General features: G+C 38.7%; 1 protein-coding gene across 11 annotated transcripts in view; it reads right to left on the reverse strand.

Moving 5' to 3' along the window:
- Nucleotides 1-19,143, reverse strand: part of SLC12A6 (solute carrier family 12 member 6) — a 108,274-nt gene that overhangs the window by 40,938 nt on the left and 48,193 nt on the right. For 10 of the 11 annotated variants that reach the window (XR_931960.4, NM_001042495.2, NM_001042494.2 and 7 more), the window contains one exon: nt 4,624-4,668. The exons of the other annotated variant lie outside the window; for it this stretch is intronic. Coding sequence is in view for 9 of the 10 variants with exons in the window: in NM_001042495.2 (NP_001035960.1) it covers nt 4,624-4,668 (45 nt within the window). In the remaining variant the exon portion in view is untranslated. The remainder of the gene's footprint in view (nt 1-4,623; nt 4,669-19,143) is intronic. 11 annotated transcript variants of the gene reach the window in all.

Here is a 19,143-nt window from a genome sequence, read left to right on the forward strand (position 1 = left end):
GAACCTGGGAGATGGAGGTTGCAGTAAGCCGAGATCATGCCACTGTACTCCAGCCTGGGTGACAGAGCAAGATTCCATCTCAAAAAACAAAACAAAACAAAACAAAAAACAAAAAAAAAAAAAAGAGAGAGAGAAAAGAGGTTTAATTGACTCCAAGTTCAGCATGGCTAGGGAAGCCTCAGGAAACTTATAATCATGGTGGAAGGCCCCTCTTCACAGGGCAGCAGGAGAGAGAATGAGTGCAAGGAGGGGAAATGCGTGATGCTTATAAAACCATCAGATCTCATGAGACTCACTCACAATCATAAGAACATAGAGGAAACCGCCCCCATGATTGTTACCTCCCACAAAACGTGAGGATTATGGGAATTACAAGTCAAGATGAGTGGGGGGAGACACAGCCAAACCATATCAGGTATGTTTCAAATCAAATGCTTTTTCAACCTCTATTAAGATTATTATACAATATTTTTCTTTTAATTTGTTAACATAGTGAATTATATAAATTAACTTTCAATATTAAACCAACCATGGATTTCTAGCAGAAACTCAACTTGATGAGGGGATAATTTAAAAAAATATGTTGCCCGATTCAGATTGCAAATATTTCGTTCAGGATTGTAGATATGTTCCTAAGTAAGGTTGGCCTATACTTTTTTTTTTTTTTAATCTCATGTTGCCATTCTTAAGTTTTGGTTATCAAGGTTGCAAAAGCCTCAAAACTGAGGTAGTAGTTACTTGGTTTTCTATTCCTTATGAGAGACTGACTGCAGAAGACTCGAATTATTTTTCCTTGGATGCCTGATAAAACTTTTAATAATGCCAGGACCCATGGCTTGTTTGCTTGCTAGCTTTCTAAAAATTTTTTTAAGTGCAAAGCTACACACACACACACACACACACACACAGAAAAGTTCATAAATCACAGGTGTACAGCTTGATTATTACAACAGCAGTTTCACCCTCCCGTATATCTCCTCAGCCTGACCCTGAGTTTTGCAAGAGACCCGATGAGTCAGTGGGAACAGTAGATACATTAAAATAACTGTGCCCTGTTGACAGTAAAAACATTTAGAAGGACTGGAAAGGGCTTTTATATATCCAATTCAACAGCAAAGGTCTGAAAGATGTTATTACAAATTCAATTAAGCAGGCAAGGCAATTGAACCAGTTTTTCACCTACCAGGCCAAATTATCCTAAACAAGGTTTTTAGGGAGAGCTGGGAAGATTTTCTTTTTTTTTCTTTTTCTTTTTTTGTTTTTGTTTTTTTTGAGACAGAGTCTCACTCTGCCGCCCAGGCTAGAATGCAGTGGTGCGATCTTGGCTCACTGCAACCTCCACCTCCTGGTTCAAGCGATTCTCCTGCCTCAGCCTCCCAAGTAGCTGGGACTACAGGCACCCGCCACCATGCCCGGCCAATTTTTTTTAAGTAGACATGGGGTTTCACCATCTTGGCTAGGCTGGTCTCGAACTCCTGACCTTGCGATCCACTTGCTTTGGCCTCCCAAAGTGCTGGGATTACAGGCGTGGTGAACCACGGCGCCTGGTTGGAAGATTTTCATTCAACCTTATAATGCCTTTTCTGAGTAACTTATCAGATGGTTAGAAAATACAACAAAAAAAATCTTTCAGTCTTTTGCAAACTCATGAATTTCTTTTAATTAAACCAGACTTTTAAAGGTTTTGAGGCTACAGCTAAAACAAAGATACTTAAGACAGAAGACAGAAGAGGATAGTTCTTCAGAGCATGAGAAAAAAGGAAAATATGATCTGACTCCATGAATCTAGGAGAGAGAACTCAGGCTGGCAGGATGGACATACCTGATAATCTGGCCAGAAGACTGGATGAATCCTCAGGTTGGCTAAAAATTGAATGCAACTGTAGGCTGCCAAATGAGATTAATGTTTGAAGCAGTCTCTTTGCAAATACTATTAGAATTTTTTGGCTAATAATGACTAAGATAACTCTTCCTTCATAATCAAAGTTACTTATTTTTGCCTACAGTTCCCCAGGTATCCTTTACTGCAGGTGATTAGCTGGGAACAAAATCCAGCTTAGTAATACTAGAACTGTATCAACTTTTGACTGTCCATTTCACTAGCTAAGCTGCCTCCATTGTACATGTGTTCCTGATAATGAACTATTCTCAAACATCTCTGCCTGTCATGTATGTATCAGGGACAGAAACACTTTCATAGTTTAGAGGAAAGATGTTCTTTTCATGGTCTGGCAAAATTTTTCAATGAAAGTTTAATCGTTCCTGATCCAAATATAAAATTTTTATATACAGAAGACTAATTTTGAGCAATGTATAGAAACTATCCAATATAAAAGTATAAAAAAGTGGCCGGGAGTGGTGGCTCATGCCTGTAATCCCAGCACTTTGAGAGGCCACAGTGGGTGGGTCACCTGAGGTCAGTAGTTCGAGACCAGCCTGACCAATAGGGCGAAACCTTGACTCTACTAAAAATACAAAAATGAGCCAGGCGCTGTGGCGTGCACCTGTAGTCCCAGCTACTCAGGAGGCTGAGGCCAGAGAACTGCTTGAATCTGAGAGGTGGAGGTTGCAGTGAGCCAAGATCGTGCCACCGCACTCCAGCCTGGGTGACAGATCAAGACTCCATCTCAAAAAAACCAAAAACCAAAAAAACAAAAAACCTCTAACATCACACGGTCAGGACCTTGGTGATCAGATTTGTATATTTATGTCAAACCATTTACTTAACAAATATATACTGAGTGCCTAGGATGTCAGGTACTGTTTCAGCATATAAACTCACTAAAGGAATGAGGGCTATGGTCTCATAAACTCTTCTCATTAACCCAAGGACTATCCTAAGTCTTTAATATAGAAAGAACGAAAAAGGAGTATCCCAGTTTCTTCAACTAATCCTCTGAAGTTTTTACTTTCCCTACTTTGGACTTTTTGATAGCTTATTTTTCCATAGCTGCTTTACACATATTTAAACAGCTAAAAGCTCAGCAGGGATCAAAATAAGCCTCAAATCAAAGCATACATAGACACACAAGTGTTAAATACCAAATAATATACTAAAAATTACTTAACCTCACTTACACTGAAGGAAGTATAAATAAAAAACTAGAGATGCCATTTTCACCTATTAGGTAAAGAAACTATTTTAAGATTAATAATACCTGTTTTTTTTTTTATTATAGAGAGTCAAGCATTACTCCATACTGGTGAGAGTTTAAGCTGATGTATCTTTTTAAACATGTACATATCTTTTGAGTAAGGAATTCCACTGTTAGGAATTTACCCTACAAATATACTGGCATTAAGACTGATATATCTATCTTATATACTGGATATAAGTATAAGATATTCATTGCAACACAACTTACAACAGTAACACACTTGGAAATACATGCTCATGAGTAGGAAACTGGCTGAATAAAATTATAGTGCAGGAGCACAATGAAATACTCTTCCATCACAAACAAAGGAATGAAGCAGAACTTTATGTACTAAGATGTCCAAGGTAAAATGTTAAGTAAAAAGAAGCAGTCTGTATAATAGAACAGTCCATTTACTATAACACCATTGATATAAAAAGGAAAAGATAGTCATATATAATACAAAAATTTATAATTAAAAATTTCTAGAAGAATTCCCAAGAAACTGTCAACAGCAAGTACTTTTAAGAGGTGGAAATGAGGTGGTAAGAAGAAGAGATACTTTTACTTTCTTTATATATGCCTTTTGTTTGAGCTGAATGCCTCATCAGGGTATGTTTCTTTTTACACTTTGAAAATTTATCAGTCCTGAGGTCTTGTGAAATTCCTGTCAAGGCCGGGTGCAGTGGCTCACACCTGTAATCCCAGCATTTTGGGAGGCAGAGGTGGGCGGATCACGAGGTCAGGAGATGGAGACCATCCTGGCCGACATGGTGAAACCCTGTCTGTACTAAAAATACAAAAATTAGCTGGGTGTGGTGGCGGGCGCCTGTAGTCCCAGCTACTTGGGAGGCTGAGGCAGGAGAATGGCATGAACCTGGGAGGCGGAGCTTGCAGTGAGTGGAGATCGCACCACTGCACTCCAGCCTGGTGACAGAGCGAGACACTGTCTCAAAAAAAAAAAGAGAAATTCTTGTCAAATTATGCACTTACTTTAAAGAAGTGGTACCCAGAGGAAGTAAATTCATTTCCATAATTTGTTTCATAGATAAGGAACTGGAACACCAAATTCTAAGGACTGCTTAAGGACATACTGTTTATGAAGTACTTTCAATAATTAAAAAGGGGATCAAAAGGCCAAGAAAAGTAATAAAAAGGGAAAATTAGCTGCAAAGTCAGATATTACAAAGCTATTATAATATCTTCTTTTCCAAATTATCTTTAAAAAATTCTAGTTCTTAGATTTTTTTTAACCATAAACCATGCAAAATTACTTTTTAATTTAACTGAGTCTTAGTAATCAATTATAGAAGTAGTTTCCTAAAACTTGGCAAGTTGGGAATAGAAACAGCAGGAAAAAAGTTGTTGGGTGGGAAGTAGAAAAGGAGGGGATAGAAAATAGAATCAGAGAAGGGAGTAATGTCTGTTAGGATAAATGAGTTAAGGGTGACTTTGGATAAAGTCAATCCCCACAGTAATACTATACCTAACAGTTGGCTGTGTTCCCCTGTGATGGAGTTCTGACTCAGGTCTGAAAAACAAACAATTGAAAAGAAAAGAAAAAAATGAATGATCAAAACAAATAATTTCTTTAAAATCAGCAACAAAAGTCAACCAAGGAAATAAGCAAAAAAATTTAAAAACTTATGAAATATTAATGTGAAGATAATAAAAAATAGAATGAACTAGTGTAAAGAATGATCACATAGCTCAAAAAGTTAAACATAATCACCATCAGCAATTCTACTCCTAATTATACTTCCAAAATAATTGAAAACAGGGACTCAAACAGATACTTTACCACAAAGTTTATGACAAAATAATTCACAATAGCCAAAAGGTTACCAGGTATACTTCTACAGATGAAGGAATCAACAAAATGTAATATACACATACAATGGAAAATTATTCAGCTATAAAAATGAATGGAATTCTGATACATGTGACAACATGGATGAACCTTGAAAACATTATGCTAAGGAAAACAAACCAGACACAAAAAGATAAATATTATATGACTCAATTTATATAAAATGTTGAGAAAGGGCAAATTTATGGAGATGGAAAGCAGATTAGAGGTTACCAGGGGCTGGGTGGAGTAGGGTATGGAATGTTATTGCTTAAAGAGTACAGCGTTTCTGTTTGGGGTGATGAGAAATTCTGGAAACAGATAGTGGTAATGGGTGTACAACACTGTAAATGTAATTAATGCCACTGAGTTGTACACTTAAACATGGTTAAAATGGTAACTTCTGTATTGTATATATTTTGCCACAATAAAAAGTAAATTAAAAAAATAATAATCACACAAATTTGACCAAGCAGTCGTTTCATAAAGTAGAAGGATGATTCAGGATTGTGATATGAATTATATTTTTAATGACGAAGGAACATTTTAATGACAAAAAATACTTATGGCTATAGCAGCTCAAAGTCAAGACATAAATAAAGCACTTATTACTATTAGCAGATATATTCTAGTAGTTTGACTTTAAGATACACTGACTACATTGGCTTTCATAAATATCAATTTCTTTAGTAATCTGAAATAAAATTCGTGGCAATAAGCCAAGTTCCTAATGCAAGAGATATTGACAATCATCATTTAACAGTCAACCACTTACTTATTTTAAAGGTTTGAAAAGCACTAAGAGCTAAAAACAGAAAAGACTAAGCTCCACTTTCCTCAAAGACTAAATCTCTTGAGACGCTGATGATTCTGGCTTCCTTGAATGTGCCTGGGGTAATAAAAATAATTTTAGACCAGGGTTTATGTGAACAATGGGAAAAAAAGTCACATCTTTATTTTCACTAACCTCTAACTGAAGTTAAGGATTTTCTACAGCTATGATGTATGCAACAGATTACATAAAAGTACCTTTGATTTTGTCTAACAATAAATCTGAGACATTTTTATATCACATTATTGTTTTAGACAAAATCCATAGTCCACATATGTTTTACATATCATTTAATTAACACTTTAAGCATCCCAGACAGAAAGAAACAATCAGAATACTTAACAAATTCCAGTTTCTGATGTATATTGGAGTATACACTATATATTTTAATTAAGGAAGTCAGGTAGAAATCTGATTTCTACCACAGAAGTTTTAAATGCTATTTGAACATTTAACAATTTATTTTCAGGGGATTTTTTTCCTTAATTTGCTTTGAAAAAGGAAAATTTGAAATGTTCCTATTCTAGAATATTTTCCCCAAACATACCAGCAAGTGAATTCCCAGTTTTTACTTTAAACTTATCTTACTTCCCATCTAAATAAAGGATACTGGGGCTGGGTGCAGTGGCTCCTGCCTGTTATCCCAGTATTTTGGTGAGCTGAGGCGGGAGGATCACGAGGCCAGGAGTTTGAAACCAGCCTGAGCAACATAGTGAGACCGCATCTCTATGAAACATTTTAAAAATTAGGTAGGCATAGTGGCGTGTGCACCTGTAGTCCCAGCTACTCAGGAGGCTAAGGCAAGAGGTTCCCTTGAACCCAAGAGTTAGAGGCCCCAGTGAGCTATGATGATGCCACTGCACTCCAGCCGGGGTGACAGTGAGACCTCATCTCTCCCCCAACCCCCCACTATATATATATATTCTTGCACATAAGACAAAGTAGGAATGTTCTTGCACATAAGACAAAATAGGAATAACAGTTCTGTAGTCACTCTCTCTCTTAGGGAAAATTGGGCCCTATCATTATGGAGAAACAAGCATGTAGCTGGCATGAAAAGAAGAGTAGAGAAAGCATAACAGAATTTTAGAACTAGAAGAACCTTGGTCATCATCTAAACCTACTCCAGTGACTCTAGAGGAAAAGCTGAGGAAGTGTTATCACATCATTTATTTTTCTCTTTAAATCATACCAACACCTCTCCTTCAAGATTCTGATTCCCAGCCATAGTCACTAATATGAATACCTTGTATCTCTCAGGTGTGCAGGAACAGAAAAGTTGAGAACCTCATATTTTAATGTTTATAGTTCTAAAAAACTAATGCCTGGGTTAATCAGTGGCTAAAGACACATCATACTACTGCCCAAAGAAAAAGGTTATAGTCTTGATGCTTTGAGAACTTATGTTCTTGCTTCCCAATATTCTGTAATTCTAACTTTCTTGTTCTAAAACAAGGTATGATAGGCTAAAACAAGTTATTCGAAATTGCCAGGGAATACAACCTATGAAGAGAAATAGGAAAACATCTCAGATAACTCTGACAGACTAGGTATGGTTTTAGAGAGGAAAATATAAATGACTTTTCCTTTAAAAAGAATTAGCTCGGCTGGGCGCAGCGGCTCACGCCTGTAATTGCAGCACTTTGGGAGGCCGAGGCGGGTGGATCACCTGAGGTCAGGAGTTCGAGACCAGCCTGACCAACATAGAGAAATGCCATCTCCACTAAAAATAAAAAAATCAGCTGGGCGTGGTGGCGTGCACCTGTAATCTCAGCTACTCTGGAGGCTGAGACAGGAGGATGGCTTGAACCCAGGAGGTGGAGGTTGCAGTGAGCCAAGACCACACCACTGACTCCAGCCTGGGCAAAAAGAGTGAAACTCCATCTCAAAAAAAAAGAAAAAAATTAACTCCTCTATTGTGTAATATACTTTCTTGCCTTCTAAGCTGTGCATACATGACGTATGTATACTCTCTAGACAAGCCAGGAGTCTTCCTTTGAACACCCTCCTATACTTCAGATGAGTAGAAACAAGTCCTTTTATTTTTTTTGAGATGGAGTCTTGCTCTGTCGCCCAGGCTGGAGTGCAGTAGCGCGATCTCGGCTCACTGCAACCTCCACCTTCCAGGTTCAAGCAATTTTCTGCCTCATCCTCCAGAGCAGCTGGGATTATAGGTGCCCACCACCACGCCCAGCTAATTTTTGTATTTTTAGTACAGTTGGGGTTTCACCATGTTGGCCAGACTGGTCTTGAACTCCTGACCTCATGATCCACCTGCCTCAGCCTCCCAAAGTGCTGGGATTACAGGCATGGGCCACTGAGTCCAGCCAGAAACAAGTCTTTTGTGTAGTTCCCTACAAGTTCAACTTAGATTTTTATTTTCATTTATTATAATTGAAAAATTATGGGCAATCCTTGATACTTATTTAGTAATGTGAAGACTAACCTCCAAGAACCTGCAAATCTTTTATTAATATATATAAAAGCTAAAACAAGGCTAGGAGCGGTGGCTCACACCTGTAATCCCAGCACTTTGGGAAGCTGAGGCGGGTGGATCATGAGGTCAGGCGTTCAGGACCAGCCTGGCTAACGTGGTGAAACCCCATCTCTACTAAAAATACAAAAATTAGCTGGGCATGGTGATGCGCCCCTGTAATCCCAGATACTCAGGAGGCTGAGGCAGAGAATTGCTTGAACCTGGGAGGCGGAGGTTGCAGTTAGTGGAGATCAGGCCACTGCACTCCAGCCTGGGCGACAGAGCAAGACTCCGTCTCAAAAAAACAAACAAAAAACAAAACAAAACAAAACAAAAAAAACAAAGAACTAAAATAAAGGTCAATCTGGGAGTATATAGGCCCGTGAACCCACTAGAATGAAACTAGTTTTGCCTGTAAAAATTACAATTGTTCAGTGGATTTAACTTGAAGGGCGTTTCTGGGTTTGCAATCCAAATTGTGCAGTCATCATGCTAACACTGCTGAGATATGTCTGAGCACCCTTCAATTGTTCTGTGTCTAAACTCCCCCATTTACCACTTTTCCTGACTATGTCATTGGTGAGGGCACACCCAAGTTTGCCTAAGACTGGGAGTTGTCCTAAAGATTACTCAAAATGACATTTATTTTAAACCAGATTATTCTCTCTAATAGGAACTATGTGCCAATAATGTCACTAGTTTTACCCCATGATGGTCTTCATAAATAAAGCTACTCTTAGGACAAAATACAATCAGGTTATAATCAAAAGCCAGAGATACTCTATAAGTCAAAATGATAGATCAAATAAAAAATAGAAACAAACTATATACCTATTAAAAACAGATAGATGTAATCAGAAAGATGAACTGAAAATATTTCCTTGTAACACTAATGATATGGTAGTTTTACAAATAAGCACTTGCTCAATATATTTAACTTATCTTGGGTAAATAGTAAGAATGAAGATTTTAGTTTCCTGCCATGCACCTGGGAGAATGGAGACAGAGTGAAATGATTGTGGGTGGTACTCACTTGCAAAACTGCCTCTGTCAAGTTTTTCTGAAGAGCTTTATTATTTTCCTTAGTTTGCCAATAGCAATAGTCTTTGAGACTATTTTGAACAAAATTTCCTTTGAGAATCACTTTGTTTACCATCATTGGCAGACAATTTGAAGCAAATAAAGGCTAGCTGGTATCTTGTAGCTAAAACACAGGGCTAGAAGGTTTTAGTCTTTATTAAATCTAGAATCAGTAATATAATTAAATAACACACCAACAGCAGAAATTGTTGCCCAATTCTTTAGATAAAGAAGTAGGCATGACCAAGCGCATATACATCAGAATTAAGACTGTTATGCTACTGGCTGTATTATCTAGACATATCACAAAAGTTGTTTCAGGAAAACAAACAACTGAAATGACTAGTCTTAACACGTAAGGCATTTCTAACTTTCTTAACTCCCAGTTTTTAAAAAAACCAAAGCGTCATCATCATCAAAAGAAACGATTCCAACTCAGAATTAAACTAAGATAGTTAAAGATGGAACTGAATTTGGGGATGTAAACTAGTATAGCCACTAAGGAGAAGAGTATGGAGAGTACTCAAGAAAAGTACAACTAGAACTACCATATGATCCAGCAATCCCACCACTGAGCATTTATACAAAGCAAAGGAAATTAGTAAAATTAGTATATCAAAGAGACACCTGCACTGCATGTTTATTGCAGCACTATTCACAGTAGCCAAGATATGGACTCAACCTGGGTGTCCAAAAACAGATGAATGGATAAAGAAAGTGTGGTATGTATATACAATGGAATACTATTCAGCTCTTAAAAAGAATAAAATCCTATCATTCATAGCAACGTAGATGGAACTGAAGGACATTATGTTAAGTGAAATAAGCCAGGAACAGAAAGCTAAACACCACATGTTCTCATTCATATGTGAGAGTCAGAAAAAAAAAGTTGATCTCATAGATGTAAAAATTAGAACAGACGATACTTGAGGGTGAGAAGGGCATGGGTATGGGCGGAGGGCAGGGGGATAGGAAGAGATTTGTTAAAGGATACAAAAGTATAGCTAGATAAAAAAAGAGTAAGTCTAGTATTCTACACTATTGAAGGATGACTACGGTTAACAATAATATATTAGACTCAAATAGCTAGGAGGAGGATATTGAATGTTTCTAATACAAAGTAATGATAAATGATTGAGACAATGGATATACTAATTACATTGATCTGATCACTATACTTTAATAGGTATTGAAAAAAAGATGGAACCAAAGACAATTACTCTAACATTCACATTTATTAGATTCTGCCTGTCTATATGGGTAGGATCTCATCTTGGTGGGAAAACAAGTTGAACTAAGTCAAAATCTGAAAAGCCCATCCTCTTTACATAATATATTCTAAATTTATAGCAATGAACTAGATAGACCTAGAAAAACTAACATGAGATTAATGAGGTTTAAATAAATGAGTAAGCCGGGTGCAGTGGCTCACGCCTGTAATCCTGGCGCCTTGGGAGGCCGAGGCGAGTGGATCACGAGGTCAGGAGATTGAGACCATCCTGGCCAACATGGTGAAACCCCATCTCTACTAAAATACAAAAAATTAGCTGGGCATGGTGGCGCATGCCTGTAGTCCCAGCTACTTGGGAGGATGAGGCAGGAGAATAGCTTGAATTCAGGAGGCGGAGGTTGCAGTGAGCCAAGATGGCGCCACTGCACTCCAGCCTGGTGACAGAGCAAGATTCTGTCTCAAAAATAAATAAATAAATAAGTAAAAAATAGTAGGCAATTTTAGGCAAAGTAATTAAGCAATAAGATGGCAATGTAAACCAGTGCATACAAAAAGTTAATTCTTTATGTTTCTACACTACCTCATAAAGGACAAAAATCCTTATTTTAATTTTTAATGTAATAAAAATATAGTTTAAAAAAGATATATAGAGCCTACATATGCCAAAAAAAAATAGCTAAAGATCATTAAGCTAAAATGTGTACTTTAGTCCACACCATCTGCTACATAGTGGCTTGTGTAGACAGTTAACCATGAACAGAATAAGCTGCGATAGTAGCAAGGAACCACATACTCTACTTCATGTACAGTGTATAGTCCTTAGGGCATAAGTACACATTCCTTAGTATATTAATAGGGATTTGGTAAGAAACGGTTTGGGGCAGGGATTGTAAGTAGACTTGTCAAATCTATTTAATAGATAAGTAGATTGCTCTAAAGTGTAATTTCTCATACCCTTCAAAATGCTAATGACTGCCTAGCTAATCTCCAAAAGAAGAATATAATATTCAGCATTCCTAAACACATAGGAAAAGATCATTCATTTTGTATCAAATACCTTGTATAATTAGTGTCCTATGATATACACTTTGGGAAACGTTGAACTAATTCCTATCAATATACTAAGGTTAAAAGATAACTCCCTGGCTGGGCACAGTGCTTCAAGTCTGTAATTCTAGCTACTCAGGAGGCTGAAGCTGGAGGACTACCTGAGGCCAGGAGCTTGAGGCCAGCCTGGGCAACATAGCAAGACCCCATCTCTTAAAAAAGAAATAAAATTAGCTGGGTGTGGTGGTGTGTGCCTGTCATCTCAGCTACTCAGGAGGCTGAAGTGAGAGGATACTAGAGCCCAGAAGTTCAAGGTTGCAATGAGCTATGATCACTCACTCACTCACTCACTCATTCATTCACTCAGCACTATTTCCATTAAGTCAGTATTTTCAAAATTTGCCTGGTTACAACAGTCATGGGGTATTTGTTAAACTACAAATTTCTGGGTCACATAACTAACCCTAATGACTCAATTTTATGGGAGGAGGCTGAGATTCTGTAGTTTTACCAAGTGCCTCAGATGGCTACTATAAAACTTCATTCGTTCAACCATTCCTGTGTTTAAATATCTGAGCGACTAATAAGTCCCAGTCATTTTTCCATGTGCTAGGGATAGAAGGTAAATAAGAAAAAGTTCCTTTTGTCATGCAGATATGGGAACATCAATAAGAAAAGAAAATTAATAGCCGGGCACTGTGGCTCACGCCTGTAATCCCAGCACTTTGGGAGGCCAAGGCAGGTGGATCACCTGAGGTCAGGAGTTCAAGACCAGCCTGGCCAACATGGTGAAACCCCATCTCAACTAAAAATACAAAAATCAGCCAGGCATGGTGGCAGGCACCTGTAATCCCAGCTGCTTGGGAGGCTGAGGCTAGAGAATCACTTGAACCTAGGAGGCAGAGGTTGCAGTGACCGGAGACTGCACCATTGCACTCCAACCTGGGTGACAAGAGCGAAACTCTGTCTCGAAAAAAATAAAAATAAAAATAGAAAAGATAATTAATAAGATAATTTCAGCTTATGGTGTTATAAAGAAAATAAAGAAGGGTGATTAGAGAGGCTATTTTTTATTGGGTGGACTGTCAGGACCTTTCTGAGGAGGTAACCCTTAAGGTGAGACTTGCATGAAAAGGAGCCAGACATATGAGGATCCTGAAAAGACTGATTAGGACAGAGGAACAGCTGTGAGAAGACCCTAAGATGGGAATCAGCTTGGTATATTTAGGAAATATTAATGTAGCTAAAGCATAGTGAGTAACAAAGTGTTTTTTTTTTAAAGAGGGTAAATTAGGTAGGCACTACATCTTGTAGTGTAGCACACTATAATAAGGAGTGTGAATTTTACTCTGAAAATGACGTAAAACGACTGAAAGGTTAGCATTTTTTTTTTTGAAACAGGGTCTTGCGCTGACATCAAGCTGGAGTGCAGTGGTGCAATCAGGGCTTACTACAGCCTCAACCTCCCAGGCTCAAGTGATCTTCCCGCCTCAGCCTCCTAGTAGCTGGGATCACAGTCATGTGCCACTACACCCAGCCAGTTTTTTGATTTTTTTTATGGAGACAGGATCTCCCTATGTTGCTTATGCTCGTCTCGGTCTCAAACTCTGGGGCTCAGGCGATTCTCCTGCCTCAGCCTCCGAGGATTACAGGTGTGAGCCACCACACTTGGCCAGCATAATTTTTTAAAAATGCAGGCTGCTGGTTTGAGAATGGATTGTAGGGGAGACCAAGAACAGAAATGGGGAAACCAGTTACAAGTTTACTGAAGAAACCACAGAAAGACATGATAATGGCTGTAGTGAAGCTGATGGAGGGAGGCAGGTTGATGATATCTTACGGAAAGAGAGCTCACGGGCTAGTCTTCAAAAGTAATGTCCATATTACTTTCTTTGTTTCTTTTCTTTTTTTTTTTTTTTTTTTTTTTGAGACGGAGTCCTGCTCTGTTGCCTAGGCAGGCACCATCTCAGCTCACTGCAACCTCTGCCTCCCAGGTTCAAGCGATTCTCCTGCCTCAGCCTCCCGAGTACCTGGGATTACAGGCACCCGCCCACCACGCCCAGCTAATTTTTGTATTTTTAGTAGAGACAGGGTTTCACCATGTTGGCCAGGCTGGTCTTGAACTCCTGACCTTGTGATCCACCTGCCTCGGCCTCCCAAAGTGCTGAGATTACAGGCATGAGCCACTGCGCCTGGCCCATGTTACTTTGAGATCTGTAGCTCTTTCATTAATGTATTCAGTAAATATTTTCTGAGAACCTTCTACATGTGAAACACTATTCTAGTTACTAGAAATGTAGTAACAAAATCCCTGCCATCAAGGAGCTTAAATTTTAGTGGAGAAAAAAACAACCAGTAACCTATGTCAAGAACAGTAAGCTATAAAACAAACAAAAAAGCTGAGTAAAAGAATACAGAGGACTAGTGGGAGAGTGGTTTGTGTGCACACTTAGATACTCAGTCTGAAAGGCCTCTCAGATAATGTGACATCTGAGCAGAAAATTGAAGATATCTAACCATACAAATATCTGCAGGAAGAACAGTTAGTGCTAAGCGAAGCAGGTATGTATTGACATGTTTGATGAATGGCAGCAAGGAGACCGGATTATCAGACAGAATAAGCAAGTTGAAAGTGACAGAGTATGGAATAAGAGATGGATATAGATGTTGGAGGAGGAATCAAAGATCATGTGCGGCCTTGTAGGATATAGTCAGGATTTTTGTTTTTACTGTGAGATAAGAAGCCATTGAAAGGTTTTGGTTTCTGTTTTAACATGATCACAACAGCTATAGTCTGGAATGAGCAGATAGCAGGGACCAAGCAAATAAACAGAAAAAAGTTAGAAGGCTTTTACAGTGGTCCAAGAAAAGATAATGGTAGTATGGATCAGATCAGAAATACTAGAGGTAATGAGAAGTGGTCAGATGCTGGATATGTTGACTAGCCTAGGTATGTTTCAAAGGAGGGACTGACAAGATTGGCATGCTGATGATTGGCTACAGGGTGGGAGAGAAAGAAAAGAGTCAAAGATATTTCCACAGCAATTAGATGAACAGAGATGCCATTTACCCTTTACTGAGTTGGAGACTGACAGAGAGCTAGCAATCGAATTAAAGGCACAGTGCTTATGATGGTTTTTTTTTTTTTCCAAGCCAGCTTAGTAGGGAATCCTGTGTAGTGGAAAACCAGTGGGATGGGTTTTTAAATTAGGTGTGAGTTCTCCATGTACCCACCAAATGGCAGTAAGAAAAAATTCATTTAAAGAGGTGGAAGCAATCCAAATGTCCACTAATGGATGAATAAACAAAATGTGCTATATGTGTGTGTGTGTGTGTGTGTTTGTCATACATAAAATGGAATATTATTCAACCTTTAAAAAGGAAGGAAATTCAGACACATGCTACAACATGGATGAATCTTGACAGCAATACACTAAATCAAATAAGCTAGTCATACAAAGGCAAATACCATATGATTCCACTTATATTAGTTATCTAAAGGAGTCAAATTAATAGAAACAGAAAACAGAATGGTGGTTAACGGGGTGGTAGGGAGTGGAAAATGGAGAGTTGTTCATTGGGTATAGAAGTTCAGTTTTGCAAAATGAAAAAGTTCTGGAGATCTGCACAACAATGGAAATACTCTTAACACTACTGAACTATACACTAAAAAATTATTAAGATGCTAGGTTTTATTGCTTTTTTTTTTCTTTTTCTTTTTAAACAGTCTTGCTCTGACACCCAGGCTGGAGTGTGGTAGCACGATCTAAGTTCCCTGCAACCGCCGCCTCCCGGGTTCAAGCAATTCTCCTGACTCAGCCTCCCGAGTAGCTGTGATTACAGGCACGTGCCACCATGCTCAACTAATTTTTTTGTATTTTTAGTAGAGATGGGGTTTCACCATATTGTCCAGGCTGGCCTCAAACTCCTCACCTCAAGTGATCTGCCCACCTCAGCCTCCCAAAGTGTTGGGATTACAGGCGTGAGCCACCATGCCTGGCCTTATGCTATTTTTTTAAGCCACAATTTAAAAAATTGTATTTGACTCCGTAGTCTTTTGGCTAATACATTGTGGTCTTCATTAATAGCATTCATAAGTCTAAAAGGAGAGCTCCATTTTCCATTTTTAAAATTTCCCTGCCCGGGCACAGTGGCTCACGCCTGTAATCCCAGCACTTTGGGAGGTTGAGGTGGGTGGATCACTTGAGGTCAGGAGTTTGAGACCAGACTGGCCAGCATGGTGAAACCCAGTCTCTACTAAAAATACAAAAAATTAGCTGGGTGTGGTGACAGGTGCCTGTAACCCCAGCTGCTTGGGAGGCTGAGGCAGGAGAATCGCTTGAACCTGGCAGGCGGAGGTTGCAGTGAGCCAAGATTGCGCCACTGCATTCTAGACAAAGTGAGACTCTGTCTCAAAAATAAAAAATTTCCCTATGTGCATTAATTATGCAGCAACCTTATCTCCTAATTCACAAGATATGTACTCATACTATGCTTCAAAAGAGGACAAATAATAAAGCTTAAATATGATGACACCTAGTGCAGCTACAGAAATTACTTATAACAATTTGCTTGAAAAAAGCCAATGAGGAAGCAAAGCAAAGCAAATGCCAAAGCAAGTACTTTTTTTTTTAAATACTTTAAGTTCTGGGTTACATGTGCAGAATGTGCAGTTTTGTTATACAGGTATACACGTGCCATGGTGGTTTGCTGCACCCATCAACCCGTCATCTACATTAGGTATTTCTCCTAATGTTATCCCTTCCCTACCCCCCCGGGCTCTGGTGTGTGATGTTCCCCTCCCTGTGTCCATGTGTTCTCATTGTTCAACTCCCACTTATGAGTGAGAACATGTGGTGTTTGGTTTTCTGATCTTGTGACAGTTTGCTGAGAATGATGTTTCCAGCTTCATCCATGTCCCTGCAAAGGACAGGAACTCATCCTTTTTTATGGCTGCATAGTATTCCATGGTGTATATGTGCCACATTTGCTTTATCCAGTCTATCATTGATGGACATTTGGGTTGGTTCCAAGTCTTTCCTATTGTGAATAGTGCCGCAATAAACATGCACATGTGTCTTTATCGTAAAATGATTTATAATCCTTTGGGTATATGCCCAGTAATGGGATTGCTGGGTCAAATGGTATTTCTAGTTCTAGATCCCTGAGGAATCACCACACTCTATTCCATAACGATTGAACTAATTTACACTCCCACCAACAGTGTAGAAGCATTCCTATTTTCCCACAACCTCTCCAGCATGTGTTGTTTCCTGACTTTTTAATGGTTGCCATTCTAACTGGTGTGAGATGGTATCTCACTGTGGTCTTGATTTGCATTTCTCTGATGACCAGTGATGATGAGCATTTTTTCATATGTCTGTTGGCTGCATAAATGTCTTCTTTTGAGAAGTGTCTGTTAATATCCTTTGCCCATTTTTTGATGGGGTTGTTTGCTTTTTTCTGGTAAATTTGTTTAAGTTCTTTGTAGATTGTGGATATTAGCCCTTTGTCAGATGGATAGATAGCAAAAATTTTCTCCCGTTCTGTAGGTTGCCTGTTCACTCTGGTAATAGTTTCTTTTGCTGTGCAGAAGCTCTTTAGTTTAATTAGATCCCATTTGTCAATGTTGGCTTTTGTTGCCATTGCTTTGGTGTTTTAGACATGAAGTCTTTGCCTATGCCTGTGTCCTGAATGGTATTGCCCAGGTTTTCTTCTAGGATTTTTATGGTCCTAGGTCTTATGTTTAAGTCTTTGATCCATCTTGAGTTGATTTTTGTATAAGGTGTAAGGGGGTCCAGTGTCAGTTTTCTGCATATGGATAGCCAGCTTTCCCAACACCATGTATATGTTTGTGTAGTTTGTGTAGCCTCCTTTCCCCATTGCTTTTGTCAGGTTTGTCAAAGATCAGATGGTGGTAGATGTGTGGTGTTATTTCTGAGGCCTCCGTTCTGTTCCATTGGTCTATATATCTGTTTTGGTACCAGTACCATGCTGTTTTGGATACTGTAGCCTCGTAGCAAAGTTTGAAGTCGGGTAGCTTGATGTCTCCAGCTTTGTTCTTCTTGCACAGGATTGCCTTGGCAATGCGGGCTCTTTTTTGGTTCCATATGAACTTTAAAGTAGTTTTTTCCCAATTCTGTGAAGAAAGTCAGTGGTAGCTTGATGGGGATAGCATTAAATCTATAAATCACTTTGGGCAGTAAGGCCATTTTCATTATATTGATTCTTCCTACCCATGAGCATAGAATGTTTTTCCATTTGATTGTGTCCCCTCTTATTTCCTTGGGCAGTGGTTTGTAGTTCTCCTTGAAGAGGTCCTTCACATCCCTTGTAAGTTGGATTCCTAGGTATTTTATTCTCTTAGTAGTAATTGTGAATGGGAGTTCACTCATGATTTGGCTCTCTGTTTGTCTGTTACTGGTGTATAGGAATGCCTGTGATTTCTGCACATTGATTTTGTATCCTGAGACTTTGCTGAAGTTGCTTATCAGCTTAAGGAGATTTTGGGCTGAGACGATGGGGTTTTCTAAATACACAATCATGTCATCTGCAAACAGAGACAATTTGACTTCCTCTCTTCCTATTTGAATATCCCTTATTGCTTTCTCTTGCCTGACTGCCCTGGCCAGAACTTTCAACACTATGTTGAATAGGAGTGGTGAGAGAGGGCATCCTTGTCTTGTCCCGGTTTTCAAAGGGAATGCTTCCAGTTTTTGCCCATTCAGTATGATACTGGCTGTGGGTTTGACATGAATAGCTCTTATTATTTTGAGATATGTTCCATCAATACCTAGTTTATTCAGAGTTTTTACCATGAAAGGCTGTTGAATTTTGTTGAAGGCCTTTTCTGCATCTGTTGAGATAATCATGTGGTTTTTGTCATTGGTTCTGTTTATATGTTGGATTACGTTTATTGATTTGCTATGTTGAACCAGCCTTGCATCCCAGGGACGAAGCCCACGTGCTCATGGTGGATAAGCTTTTTGATGTGCTGCTGGATTCGGTTTGCCAGTATTTTATTGAGGATTTTTGCATCAATGTTCATCAGGGATATTGGTCTAAAATTCTTTTTTGTTGTGTCTGTCAGACTTTGGTATCAGGATGATGCTGGCCTCATAAAATGAGTTATGGAGGATTCCCTCTTTTTCTATTAATTGGAATAGTTTCAGAAGGAATGGTATCAGCTCTTCTTTGTACCTCTGGTAGAATCTGGCTGTGAATCCTTCTGGTCCTGGACTTTTTTTGGTTGGTAGGCTATTAATTATTGCCTCAATTTCAGAACCTGTTATTGGTCTATTCAGAGATTCAACTTTTTCCTTGTTTAGTCTTGGGAGGGTGTATGTATCCAGGAATTTATCCATTTCTTCTAGATTTTCTAGTTTATTTACATAGAGGTGTTTATAGTATTCTCTGATGGTAGTCTGTATTTCTTTGGGATAGGTGGTGATATCCCCTTTATCATTTTTTATTATGCCTATCTGATTCTTC

This window comes from Homo sapiens, chromosome 15 (genome assembly GCF_000001405.40).
Source record: "Homo sapiens chromosome 15, GRCh38.p14 Primary Assembly".
Classification (NCBI taxonomy): Eukaryota; Metazoa; Chordata; class Mammalia; order Primates; family Hominidae; genus Homo; species Homo sapiens.